The sequence below is a fragment of the Homo sapiens genome, chromosome 5 (assembly GCF_000001405.40).
Source record: "Homo sapiens chromosome 5, GRCh38.p14 Primary Assembly".
Lineage (NCBI taxonomy): Eukaryota > Metazoa > Chordata > Mammalia > Primates > Hominidae > Homo > Homo sapiens.
The window spans coordinates 139,947,297-139,970,347 of NC_000005.10; the positions used below are offsets into that span (position 1 = coordinate 139,947,297).

The window sequence follows — 23,051 nt, forward strand, 5'->3', positions numbered from 1 at the left end:
TATTCTGGACATTTCATATAAATCAAATTATACAATGTTTGGTCATTTGTGACTGGCTTCTTTCACTTAGAATAAAGTTTTCAAAGTTCATCCACATTGTAGCATGTTTCAGTACTTTTTTCCTTTCTGTTGCCAAATAATATTCTATTGTGGATATACCACATTTTATTAATCCAACCAACAGTTGATGGCCATTTAGGTGGTTTCTACTTTTTGTTTATTACGAATAATGCTTCTGTGAACATTTGTGTACAAGTTTTTGTAAAGACATACGTTTTCATTTCTCTTGGGTATATGTACACCTGGGAGTGCACTGCTGGTTCACCAGACTTTTCCAAACCAACTGCATGCACCATCTTATATTCCTATTAGTAGTGTATGAGGGTTCCCATTTCTCCACATCCTTGCCAACATTTATTATTATGCATCTTTTTTAGTCTGGCTATCCTAATAGGTGTGAAGTGGTATATCATTGTGGTTCTGATTTGCATTTCCCTAATGACTAATGATGTTGAACATACTTTCACATGCTTATTGGCCATTTGTATAGCTCCTCTGGAGAAGTGCCTGTTTAGATCCTTTACCAGTTCTTTCCAATTCTTTTTATTGTGGTAAAATGCACATAATGTAAAATTTACCATTCTAACCACTTTAAAGTGTATCAGTGGAACCAAGTACATGAACATTGTTGTGCAACCATCACCATTCTCCATCTCCAGAGCTTTTTTCATCTTTGAAAAGGAAACTGTATGCATAAACAATTACTCCCTATTTTCTCCTCCCCCACCCAACCCCTGGCAGCCACCATTCTACTTTCTGTCTCTATGAATCTGACTACTCTAGGCACCTCATATCAATAGAATTAATGTGGCATTTGTCTTTTTGTGACTAGATAATTTCATTTAGCATAATGTCAATGAACTATACCAAAAGAGGCAGAAGGCTTCTTTCCTGAGACGAATACTCTTCGTAGTCAGAACGGAACCAGTCTCATTGCACTTGACATCTGGTCATATCCAACCTCTTGGCTCCCACATACCAACCTTTCTAGTGGTGGGAAAGAAGTTCAGCTCTGGACTTCCCGAGAGACCTAACCTGAGCCACTCTTTCTCCCACACAGAGGTCCGCTTCACATATAATTGTTACCATCACTTTGATTATCACTGCCACCATTCCAGCCCATCACTCAGCCCTTCTCCTGACCGCCATCCTAGCTGCATCTCAACTACTAGCCCAGTCAATATCCTGGCCACTGCTGCCAATAACAGCTCCCATTTACTGAGCATCTGCAATGTTGTATCTAATCCTCATTGCAAAACTGAATACCAGGAGGTCTGGACTTTATCTTGAGTGCTATGGGAAGTTGTTGAATGGTTTTAAGCAGTATAATCATAAGATAATATCCATATATTAAAATATTTATTCTGACTGCAGCACACAAAATAGAAGTGACTGGAGTTAGCCCAGTTAGCAGGTTGTTGCAGGAGTTCTGGGTGAGACAAGGGTAGTGGTAGTGAGGATGAAGAGAACTGGTAGAATCTGAGAAGTGTTTAGGAGGTACAATGTATAGGACTTGATTTCAGATTGGACATGAGGGTAAGACAGAGGCTAGAGTCAAGATTCCCTCGGCATAGGCAAGCTCCGCAGCCACAGGCAGCCATGTTCAATTAACAAAGCCTCTGAGTCTCGGTGACCCTGAGGCTTCTAGGATTCTCAGTGACCCTGAGGCTTCAATTCCCTACCAATAGGCTTCTCCAAAAATCTGTAGTGTAGACACTTCAGTGAGGAATGAAACTGATAAGACTAATTTGACCACTATAAAAATAATCTCCTGTTTCCTCTCTCCCTTTAAGGGAGAAAGAAGCTGCATATTAAGGAGGTTTGAGGAGCCCCCATCTTTCCTCTCTCAAATTTTCATCATTTCCACCACTCCAACAGCCCTTAAAAAATCAATCAATACATTATTCCACAGACATATAATGGTCATGCTATGTACAAACTATGATATCACTATTTTAGGGTTAAGGATTCAGAGATGATCTCCCTCTCTCTAGCAAATCCTGCTCTTAGGAAAAGACCCAGAACTAATTTTTACTGAAGAACAGATGAGTAATGGAGTGTGACCTTCCTTTAAGGGAATTTTTAACTAATACTTTTTTTTTTCTTATTTCAAAAGTAATTCTCAATAAGTACAAGTAAGGCATAAAAGTCACTAGAACACCCACTACCTGAAGATAATAATTAGAAACATTTTGATGTACGTCTTGTCAGACTTCTGTACATATATATTTTTTTCCTTCTAGGCTTCTATTCTATTTTAGCTAAGGAACTTATATTTTACTTAAGAAGAATATCTTACTCTAAGGAATGACCCCAGCATAACTGCTATTTGGTGCAGAGAACTTTCCTTTAGTCTTCAAAAGTCACGTTTCTAAGGTTCACACATAAATGGTTACTTCTAAAGAAGGCTTTGCTGGGTGTCTGGCCATGGCTAGGTGTTCATATTTACCAGCTGCCCCTAGACAAGTCCTGCTCACCTTGGTTTTGGAGCATGAGAAAAGGGAAGTAATAGACACCCTCAAAGCTTGGCAGGGGGCCTGGTCATGGGAAGAGGCCTCCCAAAGGGCAACTAGTACTGCTACATTCTTTGCATGGCTCCTTCCTCTGTCTAAATAGCAAAAGGCTGCTGGGAATGGCATGTGTGTGACAAAGACACAAGGGAAAATTTGTTAAGAGCAGTGCCCCAGACTCTTCCTAGGGGGAAACCTGATTAAAAGGATTATTTCAAAGGATCATTAGTAGAAAGAGAATTGTAGGCTCCCTTGGGTAGAGCAGCCTTTGAACCAAGCTCTGTTTCAACATTTCTTCTTCGTTCCTCAGAAGGTCAGCTAGAGTGAGCCACACACCACAGACCAAACTCCCAATGCCAGGGACACAGACGATTAATGCTGGCCCCCTCCATGATTGGCGGTACCATCTCAACCTACTTCAGGGGAGAGCTGGAGGGTTTGCCTGTCCCTTGGGAGCTGGCATACAGTGCTGGAAATTCCAGTAGTTCCCTCACACCCAGGAGTATGATACACCTTCTGTAGAACATTTAGCTTCTTTCAAAGTAGAAAATTCCCTGATGTTAAGAGAGCTAAGGTCTCCCCTTTCACTGAAACCTAAAGAGCTTCCCATTTCCACTTCTTTAGGAAGGTTCTGGTCCCAAAGCTGGACTGTGACTTGCAGTTTCCTGGAGAACCAGAGTAGGAGGAGGGTAAAGGTGGCTTTGGACATCCCCAAGCTGACCATGCCTCCTGCAGGTGCTTTTGCAATCACAGCTGCCGCCTTTCCTGGGGCAAATACTTTCCACACGCCAGAATTAAACTAATCCCATTGCAACTGACATCTGGTCATATCCAACCACAAGGCTCCCACATATTGAGCCTTCTAGTGGTGGGAAAGAAATTCAGGTCTGAACTTCCTGAGGGACCTAACCTGAATGGACCACTCCTTTCCCACAAACAAAGATCCACTTCACATAATTGTTACCATCACTTTGATGATCACTGCCGCCATTTCAACCCACCACTCAGCCCCTCTCCCAGCCACCATCCTAGCTGCATCGTGACTACTAGCCCAGTCAGTATCCTGGCCACTGCTGCCAATAACAGCTCCCATATATTGATCATCTTCTATGTTGTCTCTAATCCTCAGTGCAAATCTGCAAGTTTAATGAAGAGGAAACTGGCTCCAAGTGTTGTCACACTGCAGAGAAGAGGCAGAACTGGGCTTTCAACCTAGGCCTAGATGACCCCAAGTCTGTGCTTTTTCCACTGCCCCATGCTACCTCCCTAATGTGGGCCAAGCCCTGGATGCAGACTGAGAAGGTACACATTTGCTGGATATGTGACCTTGCCAAGTCCCTCACTTTCTGTGCTTCAGTTTCATCTCTAAAATGACAGTTTTGTTTGAGGCAGAAAGATACAGAGCAGTGTTTGTGTGTGTGTCTTGGGTGTCTATGTCTCTCTTTGGCTACTTATCGAGAGGTAGGAGTGAGGCCTTTCATTGTTCCTGCTCTTCAAGCCCAGGGCAGTCAAATGCTGGTGCTGTCATGGGGACATAGTGGATCACAGCCAGGCTGGAGGGTGCCTGCTCACCCCCTGCTGCCTCTCTGGGGTGCCACATGCTGTAGTCAGGAAGAGGGGACCCTGGAAGGCCCTTGGAATATTCCATCTGCTGGGGGCCCTTTGGAAGTCTGATGGAACGATGAGCTAACAATAGCAGCCTGAGCTCCGTGGCTCCTCTAATGAGGTTTCTCTGTCCCACAGCCATGGAAAGCTCCCAAGTTCCCCAGAGATGCCTCCTTGGCCCATCCGCCTGCCTTTCATCCTACACCACCCAGCTTTCTCAACTCCTAATTGTGTTTCTGAGAGCTCAGTCCCCAGGCTCTTGACCAACCATGCAGAAAACCCAACTGGTTACAACACTGCAACCTAAGCCTTGCACCCTCCTATGGCACGCCCTCCCCCTGGCTCACCCAGGCAGCCTGGCCTGGCCTGGCAGGAAGGACAAGGCTCGCAGCCTCAGGGTCTTAGCCCTGGAAGATCCAGGTCATGCAGTGGCCAGCCAGGAGGACTTACAGATGGGTAGAGGCATTTACCAACTACATCGCCAGGAAGAAAGCATGGCATAAGGGCATTTAGTTTGTAGTGAAGCTTTGGAATTCTGGCTCTGCCTCTTCCTAGCCATGTGACCATGGGCAAGGGATTTAACCTTTCTGAGACATACTTTCCTTGTGTGTAAAATAAAGATAATAATATCTACTTTGCAGAATGGTTGCAGGGATTAACCAATATAATATATTTAAAGCATCTTGCTCAGTGCCTGACACATAGTTGGCACCCAATAAATGCAGTTTCCTTTTCCTACCCTGCTCCTCTGCCCAGCCTCTGCCAACACCAATGGGGAAACAAATTTGGCAGATCACGTCTCAATTATTTGAGGGTCCAGGGCCCAGCCTCTGTACCTTTTGTCCTTTAAACTACACAATCCATGAACTACTGAAGGTGGGAAGAGGAAAAGAGGAAAATGAGGCAAGGGTGGGAAACAGGTGGGTGGGCAGAAACAAGGTGCAGAGGGCGGCCTCAGCCTGAGACAGGAGAGCTTCCGTGGCTTAGACCCCCAGAGCACCCCAAAACCAGTGCACAAGGAATCTGCTAAGAGCAGCTGGCCCCTGGATGGGGTGGGAGAAGGCTCCAGATTCATAACCTGGTTTCAAGTGGGTCCTTCCCACTAGCCTGTCTGGGCTGGAAGCAGGGAACCTGATATTTACATACCTCCGCAGATGTGTCCCCACAGCCTGCTCGCCCTACCACGGTGGAGGAGGAATAATTGCACTAAGGCCGAGCTCTCCCCTCCTCCCCCTTGAAGAGTCAGATGACCTCAGTGCTTCAATGCTCCAAATGGAGTGGGGCGGTGCGTGTGTGTGTGCGTGTGTGTGCATGCGTGTATGTGCGCACGTGTGTATGTGTGCAGCTCCAGCCTCTAGCAGAGGAGGCTGCAGGCCTGGGTTCAGAGGGAGGCAACATCTGGCCAGCTGTGAGCCTGAGCCAGATGTGCGCCGGCCAGATGGAGGGCAAGCTCCCCTGGGTGGGGGTTGCACAGGAGGAAGTCATAACCTCATTGTGCGGCCTAATCCTGAACATATTACTCTGGAATATGTGCACTATCAACAACATTGCCATAAAAAAGAGGCCTCAATAAAGAGAGAAGAAGAAAGAGCAAGGCCTCAAGAATTGTCAGTGGGCCTCTGACACACTTTCTGGGATTGGGGGTGACGTGGGGAGGGAGTATGGACTAGCACTTAACCATGGGCTGTGGCCGCCCTTGTGCTTGTGAAGAGAGGGGGTTGAGCTGGGAGGTGGGTCTCCTGCCCTGCAGAGAGAGCTACTGAAAGCTCAAAGCCGTGGACATAGCCAAAAAGGGCCTTTGTGACTGGGGCTGAAGGGTTAACGGACCTGGGGAAGGGGGTCCTGAGTCTGGCAAGAGCTGGAAGAAACAGGTCAGCCAGAGAAACACTCTAGGCCCCTCTCCTCTGCCTTCATGAAGCCAGGCATTCTGGATGCTTCTGGCAGGGAAGGCACTAGAATATCTATCTACGCCTCTTGTCCCCACTCCTATCCTCACTGCACTCCATCCTCCAACCCCTTCCCACCGCTCTCATCCTGAGAGAACCAGCCAGATGACCCACAAAGACTCAACGCAAGGCTATCAGGGCTAGGTGGTCTGACTACCTGGGGCACTGCACTAGGGCCCAGCCAGCGTTTTCTGGAACACTGACAAGGTACAGTGGTCACAACAGGCTTCCTGGAGGCTATGGGGTCTCAAAAGATAAGAAGGATTTGACCAGATGATGATAAGAGGAAAGGACATATTCTGTTCATCGTAGGAGGGCCCCAGCCCGGGAGATGCTGAGAGGGAGAAGGAAAGACAGAGTAAGCAAGACTGAAAGCAAAAAACCACATGAGAACCAGAAGCACCTCAGAGCTCAGGTGATCCAAGCCCCCCATCTGACAATAGGGAGAAAATGTAGAAAGAGGTGAATACAGCAGGAGGAAGCAGTGAAGGGTCCCCCAACGCAGGATTTACAGGCCCTCATGAAACCCCTCCCCCATCCCTGGCAGTTTCTCTGCACTGGAAACCCGAAGAGAACCTGAAAAAGTGGGCCAGAGTTGAGGGCAGGTAGCCTGCTCACTGGGAGGCAAGGGGCAGGGTGTGGGGGTGGCTGGAAGCTGAAAAAAAGAGACCCAGGGAGGGGTGGGGGACACAGAGCAAGCATGAGGCCAGGCTGGCGGTTCTCTCCCCTTGCCTCCTGCACGATCGTGGCAAGACAACTGCTTCTCATTAGCAAAAGTGACCGTGGAGGAGAAATCCAGCCCAACCCAGGTCACGGTCACAGCCCTGAGCAGCCAGCAGCAGCCAAGCCAGAGAGGAGCAGCCTGGGGCCCCAGGAGACCTGCAGCGGCTGTCTAGCCCCAGGTCCCAAGGTCGCCCATGTCAGCACCTATAGTGGACAATGATGAAAAGGAAGAATGAAATGACTGGAGGGGCAGGAAGGGAGGGAAATTGTGCCAGCACTCTCCTGGCTGTCCTGCCTGTTTTCTCCCTTCCAATTCATCCATCACACCATGGCCAAATTCATCCCACCACCCACTCTCCTGCTGAGGAAGTGGCAATGGCTTCTCAACGCCTTAGTCAAGATAAATAAACTTCTAAGCCCCAACTTAAAGGTTCTCTGTGATTTAGCAACCCTGGACGTCATCAATCCTCACTCCCATGGCTCTCCAGGCCAAGCCCTCCACCCCAGCGACTCTCCGCAGAGGCCCCTGCGCGTATCCCGCCAAGTTCCTCTCTCTTTGCTCATGCACTTTTCTTAACCTAAAATGCCTTTTTGTCTCTATCAAATCATTGTTATTCCCCTTTTACATTCCACTCACCTGTGAAATTGGGAGAGTAATAATGCCTACATCGTAGGGTTTTTGTAAGGATAAATTAGAAAATGCTTGGAACAGAGCCTGGCACACAGTAAACATTAGCTATTGGTGTTGTTATTATTGTTCTATTCATGATCCTTCCAGTCTGACCCCAAGTTCTACCTTCTCTGTAGGGCACTGTGTCCCTGACCTGCCCACTCACGATTGTCATCACCCTTCTTCTTGCATTTGCCAACTCAATTCATGTATGTTTAAACAATATTTGTCAGGCATCCTCTGCTATGCTAGGTATCATGCTAGACAGCATGGAGAAAATGGAGAATGAGAGGGTTATCCCCGGCCCTTGAAGAGCTTACAGTCTTGAGAAAGTCAAACAGTAAAAGGCAGTTACAGGGTGTGCAAGTGCTGAGCTTAGGGTACGTACACTTCAACGCCATCAAGGAACAGGGGCAGGGTCAGTATTGAGGGACAGGAGGGCTTCTCAGAGGAGGTGACGGACAAGTGGGGACCTGAAAGCCAAATAGGAGTTAGCAGAGTGGAGGGAGGGAGAGGTGTTGCAGAGAGGAGGAGCAGCAGCGGCAGAGGCCCAGAGGGGAGAGGGAGGGTGATGCATATGGAAACTACAATGAGCTCAGGAAGGTTAAGAATGGACTGTGGGGAGGAATAGTGAAAGCTGAGGCTAGAGAGGTTTGGCAGCAGCCAGAAGGTGAAAGGCTACATAAACTGGGCTAGGACACTGGGGCCCAGTCCTGTAGGCAGTGGGTAATCATGGGAGGGGCTGTGGTGCTCACTCTGCCCTTAACATGTGCCTTGGACTGTTGTTAACTCTCTCATGGCTGCCAGACTTGTCTCCTCAGGAGATTAGAACCCAGTGTCTTCCCACGTCTCTTTTATCAGTGAGGTGGGATATCAGTAAGTAGATATCTATTGGGTGCTCTTTTGAGGGCAGACCATGGACTGCACAGAGCAGGACTTCCATGCAAGCCCAGTGAGTTGAGGGAGGAGGAGGAGAAACGTGACAAAGTGGGAGGGCCATGAAGTGTAACAGGAGCCTGGAGCATGCTCTGCACTCCAGGGGGAGTCCCAGGCCAGAATCAGCCCCATGGAGCCTGAGATAAGCCACTGAAACGTCCTCACCCTCAGCTTCTTCCTCTGTAAGGTGAGCATCGGGCCATCTGTCTACCTGCCTACCACACATGAGAATGTAGGTGAAAGCCCTGCAAAGGTGAGCTCTCTCCATAGGAGCAGGCAGATGCTGAGACAGGCAGAGGAAGGTGGGACCCCCTGTGGGGCAGGCTCTGGAGGCTGGTGAAGGAAGCTCAAACCAAGAAAGAAAATAAACAAATGTGTGCCTCAGGTCAGCAACTCCCCCACCCCATTCACATGTGCTCCCTCTGTCCATTTCTCCCTCCCTAGCTTGTAGGAATCACTGTCAACAATCCGTGGCATCCAGTCACCTTTCCCAACACACTGCACAATATGGGCACCTGGATAGTCAGGTCAGGAGGCTCCGAGCTGTCCCTGTCCTGACCAGCTAGCACCTCCCCCAGAAACCTTCCCTGACCCCCAACTCACAGTAATCTCCCCCCTCTCTGACTTTTGCAATTCCAGGCCCTACCTACATGAAGTACATGACTTTGACTTCTCTCTAAGGGCTCTCAGATGACCCTTCCTAGCCCCAAGACTCTAAGGTCCTTGAGGGAAGGATCAAGCTGTTGCCTCTCCAGCATCCTCCAGGGTCCCCAGCGCAGGCTTCTCGAAGGCTTGGGGTGGTTGGTTCTCATCCCTTCCTTTCTGAAGATGTGAAGAGGACATGATAGTCTGAATGGGCCAGAACTGGGACCCAGGGATGGAGACGGATTCACCAGGCAAAGGTCATAAGGTGGAAGCAATGGCCACGTAGCCATTAGATGGAAAGGCTAAATCAGCAGGGCAGCTAGTGTCCCAATGTCAACAGGCAGGATGTGGAAATTCCAGGAAGCCAACGGCTGCTCAGAAAGAAATGGAAAGGCACTGTAGGTTTCAGTGCCCGACAAAGGGTCTGAGGCCAGGCCTCACCCCAAGCAGCTGCCCTCAACCCCTCCCCAGCTTCGTGGTACAGTGGGTGTGCCCAAGGACACAAAGCTGAAAAATGGGCTACCATCTGGAGAAGATGACAGGGCCTGAAGGACAGTGTCACCAAATGGCTTTCCCCCTGAGGCAATCAGGGCAGGGCTCATCAGCACTTTGAAAGGAACATCTGGCTGATTCCAGATGTGGAACCAGATGTGAGAAAATGATATGCTGGCATGAGCTGGTAGGCAAGTTCAGAGTCCATCCTCAACTCTCCCAGCTGGCCAGGCCCTCTCAAGATCCTTCTGCCCATGCTCCTGCCTGCACACCTCTCTTGGTTACATAGCTTTGGGCTGCAAGACTCTCATGGTTGGCCAAGTAGCTTCTCATGTCCAGCTTTGGTCCACCCCAGAATCTATGCATTCTCTTCTTCAGTAGAGATGGGAACTAGCTGGTCACCATCCCCCCACTCAAGAATCTCTGTGTGTGTGTGTGTGTGTGTGTGTGTGTGTGTGTGTGTGTGTGTGCACATTCATATAAAGAATCCTGAGAACAAGAGGCCAAGTCAGATCCCTTGCCCTGAAAAGGGCCCCAGAGAGGATGTAGCCCCACCCACTTGCTATACAGGTAAGGCAGCTGGGAAGGAGAGAAGGAGAGGTCTGCAGAGGCTGGGAGGAAGTCAGCCATGGGTCTAGTAGACTAGATCTCAGGCACTGGGAGTCCAGTGTTCTTTCCACACTGCCACCTCTTCCCCACTCTGTTCCACCTGCCAACCCACCAGGTCCAATCTCTGCCTGATATGCAGAGTAGGGGGAGCCTCTTTCCTGGGGTGAGGCACTCACTGTCAAGAGCTGCAGGTGGTGACGTGCAGGTATCAGATCGAGGAAGAGCAATTGAAAGATGGCAATTTCTCTTCCATGTTAGCACTAGCATTCCTCCTGGAGTAAGCAAGATAAAAGTCTCCAAAAGAAGAAGCCAAGAGAGATTTGAGAGTGGGTAGATGGTGGAAGAGAAGCCCCAAGCACTGGTCTCTGAGGATGTGGTCTGATAAGGAGAAGGTTCCTTGCTCACCCAGAGGAGAGCCTTTCCACTTCCTATGGGCGCTTAAGCCATCATTGCTTCATTCTGCAAGGGCCAGCACTTCTGGATTCTCACTCTGGTGGGTCCTAGACTCCAGAACCAGTGACTTCCCTGGACACGTTGGCTAGGACTGGAAGGTACCTCCTGGAAGTTTCCTGGGACAAGGACCCCAAATATAAGCTTTCACAAGCCCATTCAATTCATCTTACAAAGCAATGCAAGGCCTGACTACAACTTTGCTCAGCCTCAGTCTTACAGCCTGTGAAATAGGCAAAGACCACTAGCGTAGGAAAGAAAACAACCAGTATCTTCAAGCAGAAGATGTGTTCACCTTGCTCTCAGTTCATTCTCACATGAGCTATAGCTTGAGACTCTGGGTTTCCTGGGAATGGGCTGCTGTGTGGGAGCTAGGGCCAGCAAACAGGAAAAAATGGCGAGCTTTTTCAAGCATCAATACTTTTTGATTTGAAATCTCTCTTTTCCAAACTTTGCAGAGCACATACTGTCCAGTCCCCTTTGTTAAGGATTAATTACCAGCCAAGTTTGAAGTCTTTGGAGTTGTTTGGGAGTTATTTGAGCTGAAAAGGAAAACATAACTATGTTGTTATTTCTTCTAAATGGAAAAAGGATATTTTTTGTGGGTGTTTGCAATGCTTACAAACAGCTGAAGGGGTTTTTTACTCTATCTTTCCAAAAATCACTGCTCTAGGCCATGACCAAATATGGAAAAAATGACCAAATAAAAAAAATCCCCAAACCATAAACTTTTCAGAAAGTCACAAATAGTTGAACTGGAAGCATGTAATAGAAATGGCCGGCGACCTTGCTTAGCACAATTTCCCACTATTTCCTGCCACCCCTGTCCACCACTCACGTCTGTGATTCACCCAGGCATCTCTCAAGAGACTTTACCTTCTAGACATCCAAGAACCAGGAGCCAAGTACAGAACAGAGTGTTTGGGGAGACCTCAGCACTGGATTAACTTCCTCATTCCACAGATGAGGAAACCGAGGGCCATTGGTGGCATGAGTGACTTGCCCCAGGCCCCACAGCAAGCTTTGGCACAATCAGATTCCCAGTGTGGCTTTTACCAGGCTATAACCTCCAACCCCAAAAATGCTGCAGGGCAGACTGGGGCAGGGCCTGTGGACCTCTCTGAGAAGCCAGAATAGGTAGCCATCTGTGGCTGTGCTTTGATATGGCCACCACTGAGAAGGTGAGCATTGTACAGGAGAGGGTGTTGGCCTTGAGACAGAGAATAAGACTTCCTTGTGTTTTGTTTGTTTGTTTGTTTGTTTTTGTTTTTCTTTGATACGGAGTCTTGCTCTGTCGCCCAGGCTGGAGTGCAATGGCACGATCTCAGCTCACTGCAACCTCCGCCTCCCAGTCTCAAGCGATTCTCCTGCCTCAGCCTCCCGAGTAGCTGGGACTACAGACATGTGCCACCACACCTGGCTAATTTTGTTTGTTTGTTTGTTTGTTTTTTGAGATGGAGTTTTATTCTTCCCGCCCAGGCTGGAGTGCAATGGCGTGATCTTGGCTCACCACAACCTCTGCCTCCTAGGTTCAAGCGATTCTCCTGCCTCAGCCTCCTGAGTAGCTGGGATTAAAGGCATGCGCCACCACGCCCAGCTAATTTTGTATTTTTAGTAGAAACTGGGTTTCACCACGTTGGTCAGGCTGGTCTCGAACTCCCGACCTCAGATCATCCACCCGCCTCGGCCTCCCAAAGTGCTGGGATTACAGGCATGGGCCACCGCGCCTGGCTTTTTTTTTTGGATTTTTAGTAGAGACAGGGTTTCGCCACATTGGCCAGGCTGGTCTCAAACACCTGACCTCAGATGATCTGCCCACCTCAGCCTCCTAAAGTGTTGGGATTACAGGCGTGAGCCACCGCGCCCAGCCGATTTCCCTGTCTTGGAAGATGAGTGTGGCAGCGTCCTGTCAAAGAGCATACTCACTGTGCTAGCCACTACCAAGTAGCCTGGGACACCCTTCTCTCCCCAGTTCTTAGACAACTGGCATTGAGGAAAAGGTGAGTAGGGGTTGGTGATGCTGCACCTCTATCCCTGGGTCCTGGGCTCTGATAGATCAGAAACTTTGTCAAATAGGAATCTCCTCCACAACATCCCTATAACCAAGATCCAGGGCAAGGTTCCTGGGAATTCATTCCACACATCAATTGCCACTAAATGAGGAAGAAAGGGAAGACTGGAGCCTTCCTCTCTTCAGAGCTGAGGTTGGGGTTCTGCTTTGACACAAGGAGTCTGATGTAGGTATGGTCCAGAATGGTAATATAATATTATGGTTAAAATTATGGCATCGGGCCAGGCCCAGTGGCTCATGCCTGTAATCCTAGCAGTTTGGGAGGTCGAGGCGGGCAGGTCACCTGAGGTCGGGAGTTCGAGACCAGCCCAGCCAACGTGGTGAAACCCAGTTTCTACTAAAAATATAAAAATTAGCTGGGCACAGTGGCACATGCCCGTAGTCCCAGCTACTCGGGAGGCTGAGGCAGGAGAATCGCTGAAACCCAGGAGGTGGAGGCTGCAGTGAGCCAAGGTTGCGCCACTGGACTCCAGCCTGGGCAACAGCGAGACTCCATCTCAAAAAACAAACAAACAAAAAAAATTATGGCATCAGACTTTTGGGCCTGAATCCTAACTCTATTACTTACTGGATATATGACCTGAAAGTTATTTAACTTATCTGTGATTCAGTTTCCTCATCTGTAAATGGAAGTAATATAGCACCTGCATCCTCTGGCTCACAGTAAACGCCATGTAAGTTGTAGCAATTATTAGTGTTGTTAATTGCTCAACATTGACAACTTAGGGAAGAAAGAATAAACAGGTAGATGCCTAAGAACTCAGAACCTACTTCCTATGTTGGACAGAACCTCCCAACATCAGTTCAAGGGGACAAGTTAACCCCACCACCTTCTAGCACATGTCAGCATAGTCACGGATGCAGGAGGAGAGGCCAAAAAGCCCAAGACCTGGAGACCTGCCCATTCCCAGCCTCCTGCCAGCTCCTCCATGAACTCTGAAGAAGCTGCCAGGCTCGTTGGGGCCTTCATTTCTCCACTAGTAATATGAAGATAATAGAACCCTTTGCTGTCTGTCAAGTTCTTTGAGAGGCTTGGATGAAAGGCATAGGCAGCCAGGTGAGATGCTGCTATTACAGCTAATGACAGAACCAACACGCTTGTACGCTGCCGCCCAGCTCTGACTCAGGCTGTTTACGGTTCTTGCCTTGGTAGTGGGGGTTTCGGGAGGGTTGATTGGGTCTGTGGTCTGAGGAGAAGGGGGAGCCCCAGCCGGTGCCCTTGCCTGCCCTGCTACTGCACATAAGTGCATCTGCCATGATCTAGGTTTCGGCAGGGCCTTCTCTCCCTGACTTGAGCCTCTACTGTCCTGTCTCTCTGAGAATTTCAGTGCCCCTCACCCCCATCCCTGCCCCCCTCCTCCCCTCCTGCCAGGACTCAGGCTCCAGCCCTGCATGTGACACATCACTCTAGAGGACAATCAAGCTTGTTTAGAAACATGTGGGAGCCATGGTCTTTGGCTGCTGCAGCCAGAAGAATAAAACATTCTTCAAGGCCAGGCCCTCCCTCTCCCACCATCCCAGCGACAGCAACCCCGTAGGGGCTGATCAGCATGGGGCTGGACTCCTTCTGTGACCTCCACATCTGGTCAGATGCTGCAGGTCCCTCCCTCCTCCTGGGGAACTTCTCATGGGAGGCTGACCAGAGAACAGGGCCATTCCCACTATGTGTCACCAGCTCAGTCTCTAGATTGTGGTTGGCCCCCTGCTCCCTGCTGAGAGCTGGAGGTGAAAGCAGGGCTGGCAAAGCAAAAGCAGCTGCTATCAGGCCATCCTCAGGCTCCTAAAGGAAGAGGTCTCTCCTTGGCAGCTCAATCCAGTTTCAGGAATCGTCTGCAATAGCCACTGTCCTGACTTGGCATTAGCTTGGGGACATGCAAACTCATCCAGCCTCAATCCCAGTATAATGTGGGGGCCGAGGCAGCCCCATGCAAATGCCCCCCAGCCTCCCAAGGTGTCTCCTCTCCACTGAGGCTCTTGCTTTCCTGACCAGCACAGAGAGCTGGTCATTGGGATTTAGATAGCCGGGTGGCAGGAGGCACACACAGTGGTCACCTGATTGCCTCTTCTACTCTATCTGTCTCCCTGGCCCCAGGAACTAGCCCTTGACTGCCCCAGCATATTTTCCCCTCTCCTCTTTCCCTCAAGCTCCCCCTGCTCATCAAGTTCAGCCCCTGACAGTCCTCCTTCTACCAATGCTGCAAAGCCCCTGGAGCAGATCACATGGCAGACACCGAGTGCCAGAACGGGGGATAGCTAAAGAGAGCATAGAAAGAGGGAGGCTGTGTTGGAGACAAACTATGGAGGATGAAGAGAGAAAGACAAACCTCCAGTGGGAGAAGGGTGATCAGAGCCAGCTTGGCTCAAAACTATCGGGACAGAACAAGATTTGCTTGGAGAAGACTGAGGAGAACATTCTAGGCAGGGGGAATAGTACAAGGCAGAAGTGGAAGAGGGAAATGGTTTGGCATCTCTAGGAGAATCAGGTCTGACAAGGTTTACAAGGCTGGGGTAAATGAAGAGTGGCCCCAGACTGCACTTTGGGAATCCTGTGCTCAGGGTAGGAGTGCAGGGGCAGCCAGGGCATTTGCTCAGACCGTCTTCACAGGAAGTCCTGTGAAGTTACACAGGGGGCTTCTTCATCCTTCCCAAGCCCCAGAAGGCAGGGAGGAACTGAAAGAAAACATTCTCATCACTATTTAACAGAGAGGAAAACTGAGGCTTATTAGTGCTTACTCATATGCTCAAGGTCCTGCAGTAAGTCAGCAACCAAGCCAGTGGAATATTCTAGATGCCTGGGCCTGGAGGGGTCCTCAAGAGGTTGCCTACTCTGCCTCTTGCCCCAGGCAGACCAGATACCAACAAATCAGGCCTCTGACTATGCCTAACCATGTTGCAGTTAAACATATAACTTCTCTGGTTCATAGGCAATATGGAGCCATATAAAAGCCCTCTCTAGACCTGAAGGTCATTTTTCAAGATTGACCTTCTCCAGGTTAGGTTTCTCTTCTCCAGGTTCAATCTCAACAGGTTTCTTCTCTACTAGCCTAAGCCTCCCATGATTGACATGGAACATATACTAGTGAATTAAAGGAATGAATAAATAGTGAATAAATGAACAAAGAGACAAATGGTTTCCAGACAAGCACAACACTTTGACCTCCATAAAGCAGATCTCAAATAGAAGTCCTCAACATCCCTAAATTCACTGAACAACCTGACATGATATATTTATAACCACCATCCACGGTGATCTGGAGATAACCTTAGGCCATATCCTTCCTTTAAAAGGATGAATATCTCCCCTCCTTATCTATCCTGACACACACTCACATACACATGTATTTGCACGTTCAAATAAAGTATAGGCATCAGGCCCTGGGGGAAAACCCGTCCCTATCTCAACCAGGTTGGCATCTGTGCTGGAGTCTTTTGATAAAGAGGGTTTCTTCTGCAGACAGCTAAGACATATCTCCCTGAGATTCCTCCCTCATCTTCACACCCATGATCCTCATATAAGGAAAGAACTGAGCCCTATACATATAGGTACCATTTATTCTTACCATGTGCCAGCCACCATGCCAAACACTTTATATGCATTTTCTTATTTGGTCTTCACAAGCACCCTGTAGGTTATAGAAGAGGAAACTGAGACTTGGAGAGGTGAAGTCTGGCCAGTAAAGAAAGAGGCAGGCTTAGACTCTCGTCTGCCTGACTCTAGAGTCCACCTTCCTGCCCACTCTTGCTGTCTTTCCTCTTTCTAGGCCTGGTGGCCTTGAATGTCCTCACTGCTCCCTGTCTAACCCCAAGCCCCACCCCAGCATGCAGAACCTCATCTAGGTAAGAATACTCAATCACAAGAGTTGGGGTTGTTCACATCCAGTAACTTGTCTTTGTTCAAACTGGTTCCTTTCTGGTTTTTTCCTTTTCTTCTAATCTCAGATTGAAGACCTATTATTTCCAAGCCAGGAAAAAAGAACAAGAGAAAAAAAAGGGGGCTCTGTTCCATGAACTGTAACATCTCTCTCTGTGCTGCCCAGTTCCTCAATTTCCTGACTCTTGGACAAGCCCAGCCATGCCTGGCCCCCAAATTTGGCAGGACCATTGGTCACAAAACCTTTTTAGGGTCTTCTCTTCCTTTAGAGCCAAGGCTGGGGTGAGAGAACAAAGAATTGATGGGAAGAAAAGCAGATCAAAGAAAGGTGCTGGAAAATGGTAATAACTCGAATTCCCAGCCTGGCCCTCCAATGTCTACCCTACTGTCTTGGGACTTTATGTATCTCCTTTCCGGCCTAAAGAACTAGCTCCAGAGAGAATGTATGGTTAGTCATACACAGAAATACAGATACACACACACACACACACACACACACACACACACGGATGCCCATTCTAGAATCACAGCCTGTCAATAACCACACATCCCAGGCCAGTCTTATTCTCAGAGGTACCCAAAACCTCAAGGGACCCAAAACCCCCTAAAGCTAAGAAGCTAATCATGAGCACATGCACCCAATCACATGTTCCCAAACATTGCCATAAACATGCCCTTTCTACTAGGCACAAACATTGTCACATGCATGCTTGGGGAGTGTGTCCCAGATCTCTGGACACAGGCATTTGCAGACAGGCTCAAAGAACAAAGGATTCTGGAGTTAGACTCCTCCGTCAGAGAGGTTCTCAAAGCTGACAGGGCCTCTACTTCTTGGCTTCTTGCTCCACCTAACCCCTGAAGTTACTGAATTGGTTGGGTCCTATCAAGTCCAGAGAGAGGGAGGGCCCTTCCCAACTTTCCCCATGACCCTCACTCAAACCATACCTATCTAGCCCTGAGCCATCAGTGGCCAAGCGATGCCAGGAGAGATGGTTTTTGTCTGACTGTCAGGAGATGCCACTGTGTCACCCTGGAGAGGAGAGTGGAGTTTTTGGCCTCAGGCCACTAAGAGCCTCTAACCTGGGGCTGGCTTTCACTCTCCCAGCTTAAGGGGAAACAAAGGTGTCTTGATGCACGGGCACTAGGATTTTTTGTTGGTGGCAGTAGACACATCAGCACTGCCCCAGGGCAAGAACCCTACCACCACCTTGTTAACCCCTCATGGTCAGGCTAGCTCTCCAGCTTCCCACCTGGCTCCACGACAGCAACCTCCTCCCACCCTAGGCACAGTTGTCACATGCTCTAAGACTTCTAAGAGCCTGCGTGAATGGTCCAGAGTGGAACTACGTGGGGGAGATGGGTGGAGCCAGACAGCTCACTATGTTCCAGGGTGGGTCAGGGGACAGTACCCCAGAGGGACACCCCGACTCTCTCAACTCCTCCCAAACCAAAGCCTCAGGTTTTCCAAGAAGGCAAACAGCTGCTCAGAGAAAGCAGCCCAAACCAGCACAATTGCCAACAGAGCTTGAGGCAAGGCATTCCCCAGCCCCAGACCAGGCCAAACAGCAGAGCGACGCAGTCCTCCTGAACAGGGATGGCAGCAGCAGCCCCAGCTGCCAGCAGGAGGCCGTGGCTTTCATGCCACCACACAGCAGTGCTGCTGATGCTCCAATGTATAACAGGGCCTGAATATTCACCCAATCAGGCCCCTGGACAGAGGGACTCTGACACTTCTGCTGATGAATCCTGGCCCTCCTGAAGGCCTTCCTATGAGCAGCAAAGCACAGGGCTATACTTTCTGCCAAGATATATCTCCTTCCCAGTCTGGTAGAGACCGTCACCCCAATTGCAGACAGTGCTAAAAGGAAGAGCTGTCAGGAGTGCTCACTAGTACAACTCTTGCCAAGGTCAGGATGTGACTGTGAGGTAAAGCCAGCAGAGGTATGGATGTGGGGCTCACAGCCTTTGCAGAGGGAGAGGTGTGCTAGCCAGGGGGAGAGGGGATTGTGGGCAAGGTCCCTCCTACCAGTCTCTCATATTGCCCTATATCAGCCTATTCATTTTCTTCCTAGGACTTTTCACAATTTCTAATTTTTTTTTTATATTTGCTTACTTATTATTTGTTTCCTCCACTAGGCTATAAGCCCCATGAGTTTAGGGACCATGTCTCGCTTATTTACTATGGTATCCCCAGTGTCAGTGTGGTGCCTGGCACATAGCAGGGACTCAGTAATATTTACTGAACCAATGAATGGTCTCTGTCCAGAGAACCTCGGTGCACTATGCTCCATTGCCAACGAAACACAGGAGTGATGCACCTAAACACCCAGAGAATCCAGATCAGAGATGGCAGGAAGTTCTTCAAGGAAGGCCCACCAGCTCTCCCACCCATGCATTCATACCACATTGTACAAGTCTAATCTGAGCACTTACGCGACAGGTACTGCACTGGAATGTGAGGATCCCTCCACGAAACAAATAAACAAAACCACTGGCCCCTTCCCTTACGGAGGTATGACTTTGGTAAGGAAGGGATATTAAGAAACAAATGACTACAATTCAGTCTGACAAGCACCATCAGAGGTAAGATCAGAGGACCCACCCTACTCTTGGGAGCTGGGAAGCTTTCCCAGAGGAGGGACATTCTAAGATGAGCTCTTAGGGGTGGTGTGAACTAGCAGCAAAGACTGGAGGAGGAAAGAGGGAAGAAAAGAAGATTTCACAAAAAGAGGTTAGTATATGCAAGAGTTTAGAAATGAGAGCATATGCGACTTAAAAAAGGAGAAAAGGGAAGTTTGGCATGGTCAGGGGTGATGAGGAGAGGCTGAGAGAGAGAGTTGGAAATGCAAGCAGGAGGACCTGGAGGGCCTGGGAAACTGTGTGGTGAGCTGCTGATGGGCTACAAACAGAAAGGTAAAAGAATCTAAGCTTGTGATTTAGAAGCTTCCCTAAGTGCACAGAAAAGCAAGCTCAGAGCATACCTGCTCATGCAGAAGGCTAGTGAGGCTTCTCCTATCTCTAATGGATGGGAAGGAGCTTACAGGAACTGCTCAAAAAAAGGCCTGGGAGGAAACAGGGGTCATGCAGGCCCCCAGCCTCCCCCAGTGGCTCCACATCAATAGAACTTATTTGCCCCTTGCTCCGAGATATAACACCCAGGGGATTGCAGGAGACCTGAGATGCCAGTCATGTGGGAATCACATGTGAGGAGTCTCCACACTGCATAGCCCACGGGGATAGGGTCAACGGGAGTGGCTGGAAAGGAAGAGGAGGCAATGGCCGGTGCTGGGGCCAGGGATCATGGGATTCAAGAAAGCTATTTAGAGTCAACCTCATGCCTAGATTATAAGGACCTTCACTCCAGGGACTATTACCTTGTATCCCACTCAGCCCTGGGTACAAGGTAGATGTCCAACAAGTACTCCTCTTGGGCAGAGGAATAGAAAACCCACTCAGACATTCTCAGGACACACATACCTCCTCCGCAACAGAGTCTCCGTACTGAAGGACAAGTGTCCTTTTCCTCTTTCCTCATCCTGCAGCCCAACAAAGGCCACAGGTGGCCAAATGTACCAGACAACAAAAGCTGATGAAGACGCTGCTGCCGTGCACAAGGTGGGCCCACGAGAGGGCAGTTGGTGGCCAGGTGGGAAGAAAAGCAGAGACACTTCTAAGGAGAGGCTGGTAACTGAAGATCCCTCAGATGCAAGGCCTCATCAGAGATGTAGAATGCCTGGGCTCTAGTCAGAGCCCTCAAGACTCCTTTAACCTTGGGTCTTGATTTTCTTACCTATGAAAGGAGAACAGGGCCGGGCACAATGGCTCTTGCCTGTAATCCTAGCACTCTGGGAGGCCGAGGCGGGTGGGAGATCGAGACCATTCTGGCCAACATGGTGAAACCCCATCTCTATTGAAAATACAAAAATTAGCCAGGCGTGGTGGCGGGCGCCTGTAGTCCCAGCTACTCAGGAGGCTGAGGCAGGAGAATCCCTTGAATCTGGGAGGCAGAGGTTGCAGTGAGCTGAGATCGCACCACTGCACTCCAGCCTGGGCAACAGAGCTAGACTCTGTCCCAAAAAATAAAACATAAAAATAAATAAATAAATAAATAAATAAATAAATAAATAAATGGAGAACAGGACTGCATGCTTACTCAAGCCCCTTCCAGAGTTTCATTCCAGGGGGAGGAGGCCATGCTGACCCCCAAGGCCTCTGAGGGAAACAGCTTCTGCTTTCCTAGCAGGCACTGGCAGCTCAAGTCAGGCCTTCCCACTCTCCGATAGTCCCGTCCCAATGAAATACCGAGGCTGGGCCCAGAATCACCATGCCTGCCCGCCCGGCTGAGAAGGGGTGAGAAGGGAAGATGTGGAAGTGACAAGCCGGAGGCAGCTGATGAGGCCGACCACAGAAAGAACGGGCCTCCGTGGTGGGCCCGGAGCTGAGAGGGCCTGCGTGAGGGTAGGGCGCAGAAGGCCAGAACCCGGAGCCTCAAGGGGGCCTAGTTTAGGAGCAGGGCAGGATTGGAACATCCTCCCTATAGAGAAGAGGCCTGTAGACCAGAATTTTTTCTGACTCTGCAAGCCTGGACTTCATCTTGTTTGTGTGAGGCGAGGAACCTGGTCGATCCTCGCCAAAGGGGATGGGTCAGAGAGACAGCAGCACCTTCCTCCACGCCTGCAGGGGACTGGAAGGAGGAAGGAGGGCTGGGAAGGGCAGAGGGGTAGCTCCTGAGCGGCAGCGCCAGCTGTCCACACTGGGAGCTCTCCGTTCGGCGGCCTTTCACTGAGGGCTGGCTCCCAACAGGCTGTGTTCTGGACACTACTCCAACAAGCAACGGCATATTATTGGACAGGCTGCCCAGGACTCAGCAAGCCCAGCAAGAACCCAGCTCCATCACCCGCACAGGGCAGCAGAGGCATCCGCTGGTCCTCACTGGGGAAGGCAGCAGACCTTTCCAAAGCCCCTACAGCTTTCCTCCCAGCCTCAGCCCAGGAGGAGAGGGCACTCCGAGGCCGGTGCAGGAGCTGAGACGCAGCCTGCCCTGCCACCTGGTGGAGAGATGAGGAAGGTGCGCGGGTCCGCGTTCAGGCAGGTAATGCCCCGCCACCTGGTGGAAAGCTGCCGGCAGAGGGTTCCGGCGCTTGCAATCAGCCCAGCCGCGTGGCAGCCCACAGTCCTAGCCTAGAACATGAAGGATATAGTGTTCTAGGGCTCAGAGGCCTTGCCATATTCTTCTGACCCAAGAAGCAGACTCTGGCCCTGAGCCAGTGCTAGGAAAGGGCCATTCTAATTTAACCCGCCAAGATTAAGGCCAACATATCTGGCTTTTAATAACTTGTTATGACTCTGACACAGTTTCCTGAAGCTTTTCTGAAGCAAGTTCTAGATTTGGCAAAAGGAAATAAGAAATAATAGCTATCTTGAAATATCTATAGGGCTGTTATCTGGAAGAAAGACTAAATTTATTTTGTGTAGCTCAGAGGGACAGACATAAGGCTAACAGGTAAAAGTCAAGGCAAAGCAGATTCTGCCTCCATGAAAGGAGCGTTTCTACCAATTAGAGCTGACCTCACTGGCAGCCTTCAAAAGGAGTGAGTTATCAGGCAACAGGTGCGTTCAAGCAAGGCAGGATCTCTAGTTTGGCAGACATGTTAGAGGGACAGTTTTTGTACAGGGATCTTAGTGTCTCCTGCAATGCTGAGATGCCACACCAGCTTATCCCTGTCTCCTTACCTTCCTTTACCAATGTTTATTGAATCAACTCTATGCTCAGCTCCAGAGATTTCAGAGACAAATAAGACACAACTCTTGCCCTCAAGTATTTTAGAGTTTAGTGGAGTAGTGAGCCCTCTAGCTTCTAGTTCCACCCCAAATAATAGATGATGACCTTTGGCTTACACTGCATTCACCTCTCAAACAGGAAGGGCAAGGGAAACACTATGTGCCTTTCCCGTCCTTACTGGAACAATTCCATGCCTCCCATTGACATATGAACTTAAATAATATTGCAAATGGAGTGTGCTATCATCGCCTAAGAATAATATAAATAAAGCAATAAAAACAATGAATGTCATTTTACTATGTGCCAGGCATTGTGCCCCTCACTTTACAAGTATTATTTTTACTTCATTGTGCTGGCAAAAGTTCAAAGACAAACCGAATAACCTTTAGAAGTCCCTAAAGGGCTATACAGAAAAAAGATGTCTGACTATTCTCCACATTCTCCAATTCATGCCACAGGATAATGGTTTTGTATTACAAGAAGGCCTAAGATAGCTATAAAATAGAACATTCTGGGAACAAGATGGTCCAAAACACTGGAGTAAAACATCAACCAAGATGGTGGTGTTTCCTTCTTTAGAGCACTTGAACAACAACCTGGATATTCATTTGGTTCTAAGGATAAAAGGAAAGGAGTAGAGAAAATGAACTGGTCTGGCCAATGGATAAGGTCTGGGTACAG

General features: G+C 49.2%; 1 protein-coding gene across 7 annotated transcripts in view, besides 2 other annotated features; it reads right to left on the reverse strand.

The window, feature by feature from the left end:
• The window catches only part of NRG2 (neuregulin 2), a 196,519-nt gene that overhangs the window by 100,516 nt on the left and 72,952 nt on the right, over positions 1-23,051 (reverse strand). The gene's annotated exons all lie outside the window — the stretch shown is intronic.
• Positions 13,840-13,989: a silencer, noted in NCBI's record as "silent region_16437". NCBI's record gives its function as "represses an Ori minimal core promoter by ATAC-STARR-seq in GM12878 lymphoblastoid cells {active_cell/tissue: GM12878}" and the evidence as "EXISTENCE:reporter gene assay evidence [ECO:0000049][PMID:35858748]".
• Positions 21,771-21,820: an enhancer, noted in NCBI's record as "active region_23255". NCBI's record gives its function as "activates an Ori minimal core promoter by ATAC-STARR-seq in GM12878 lymphoblastoid cells {active_cell/tissue: GM12878}" and the evidence as "EXISTENCE:reporter gene assay evidence [ECO:0000049][PMID:35858748]".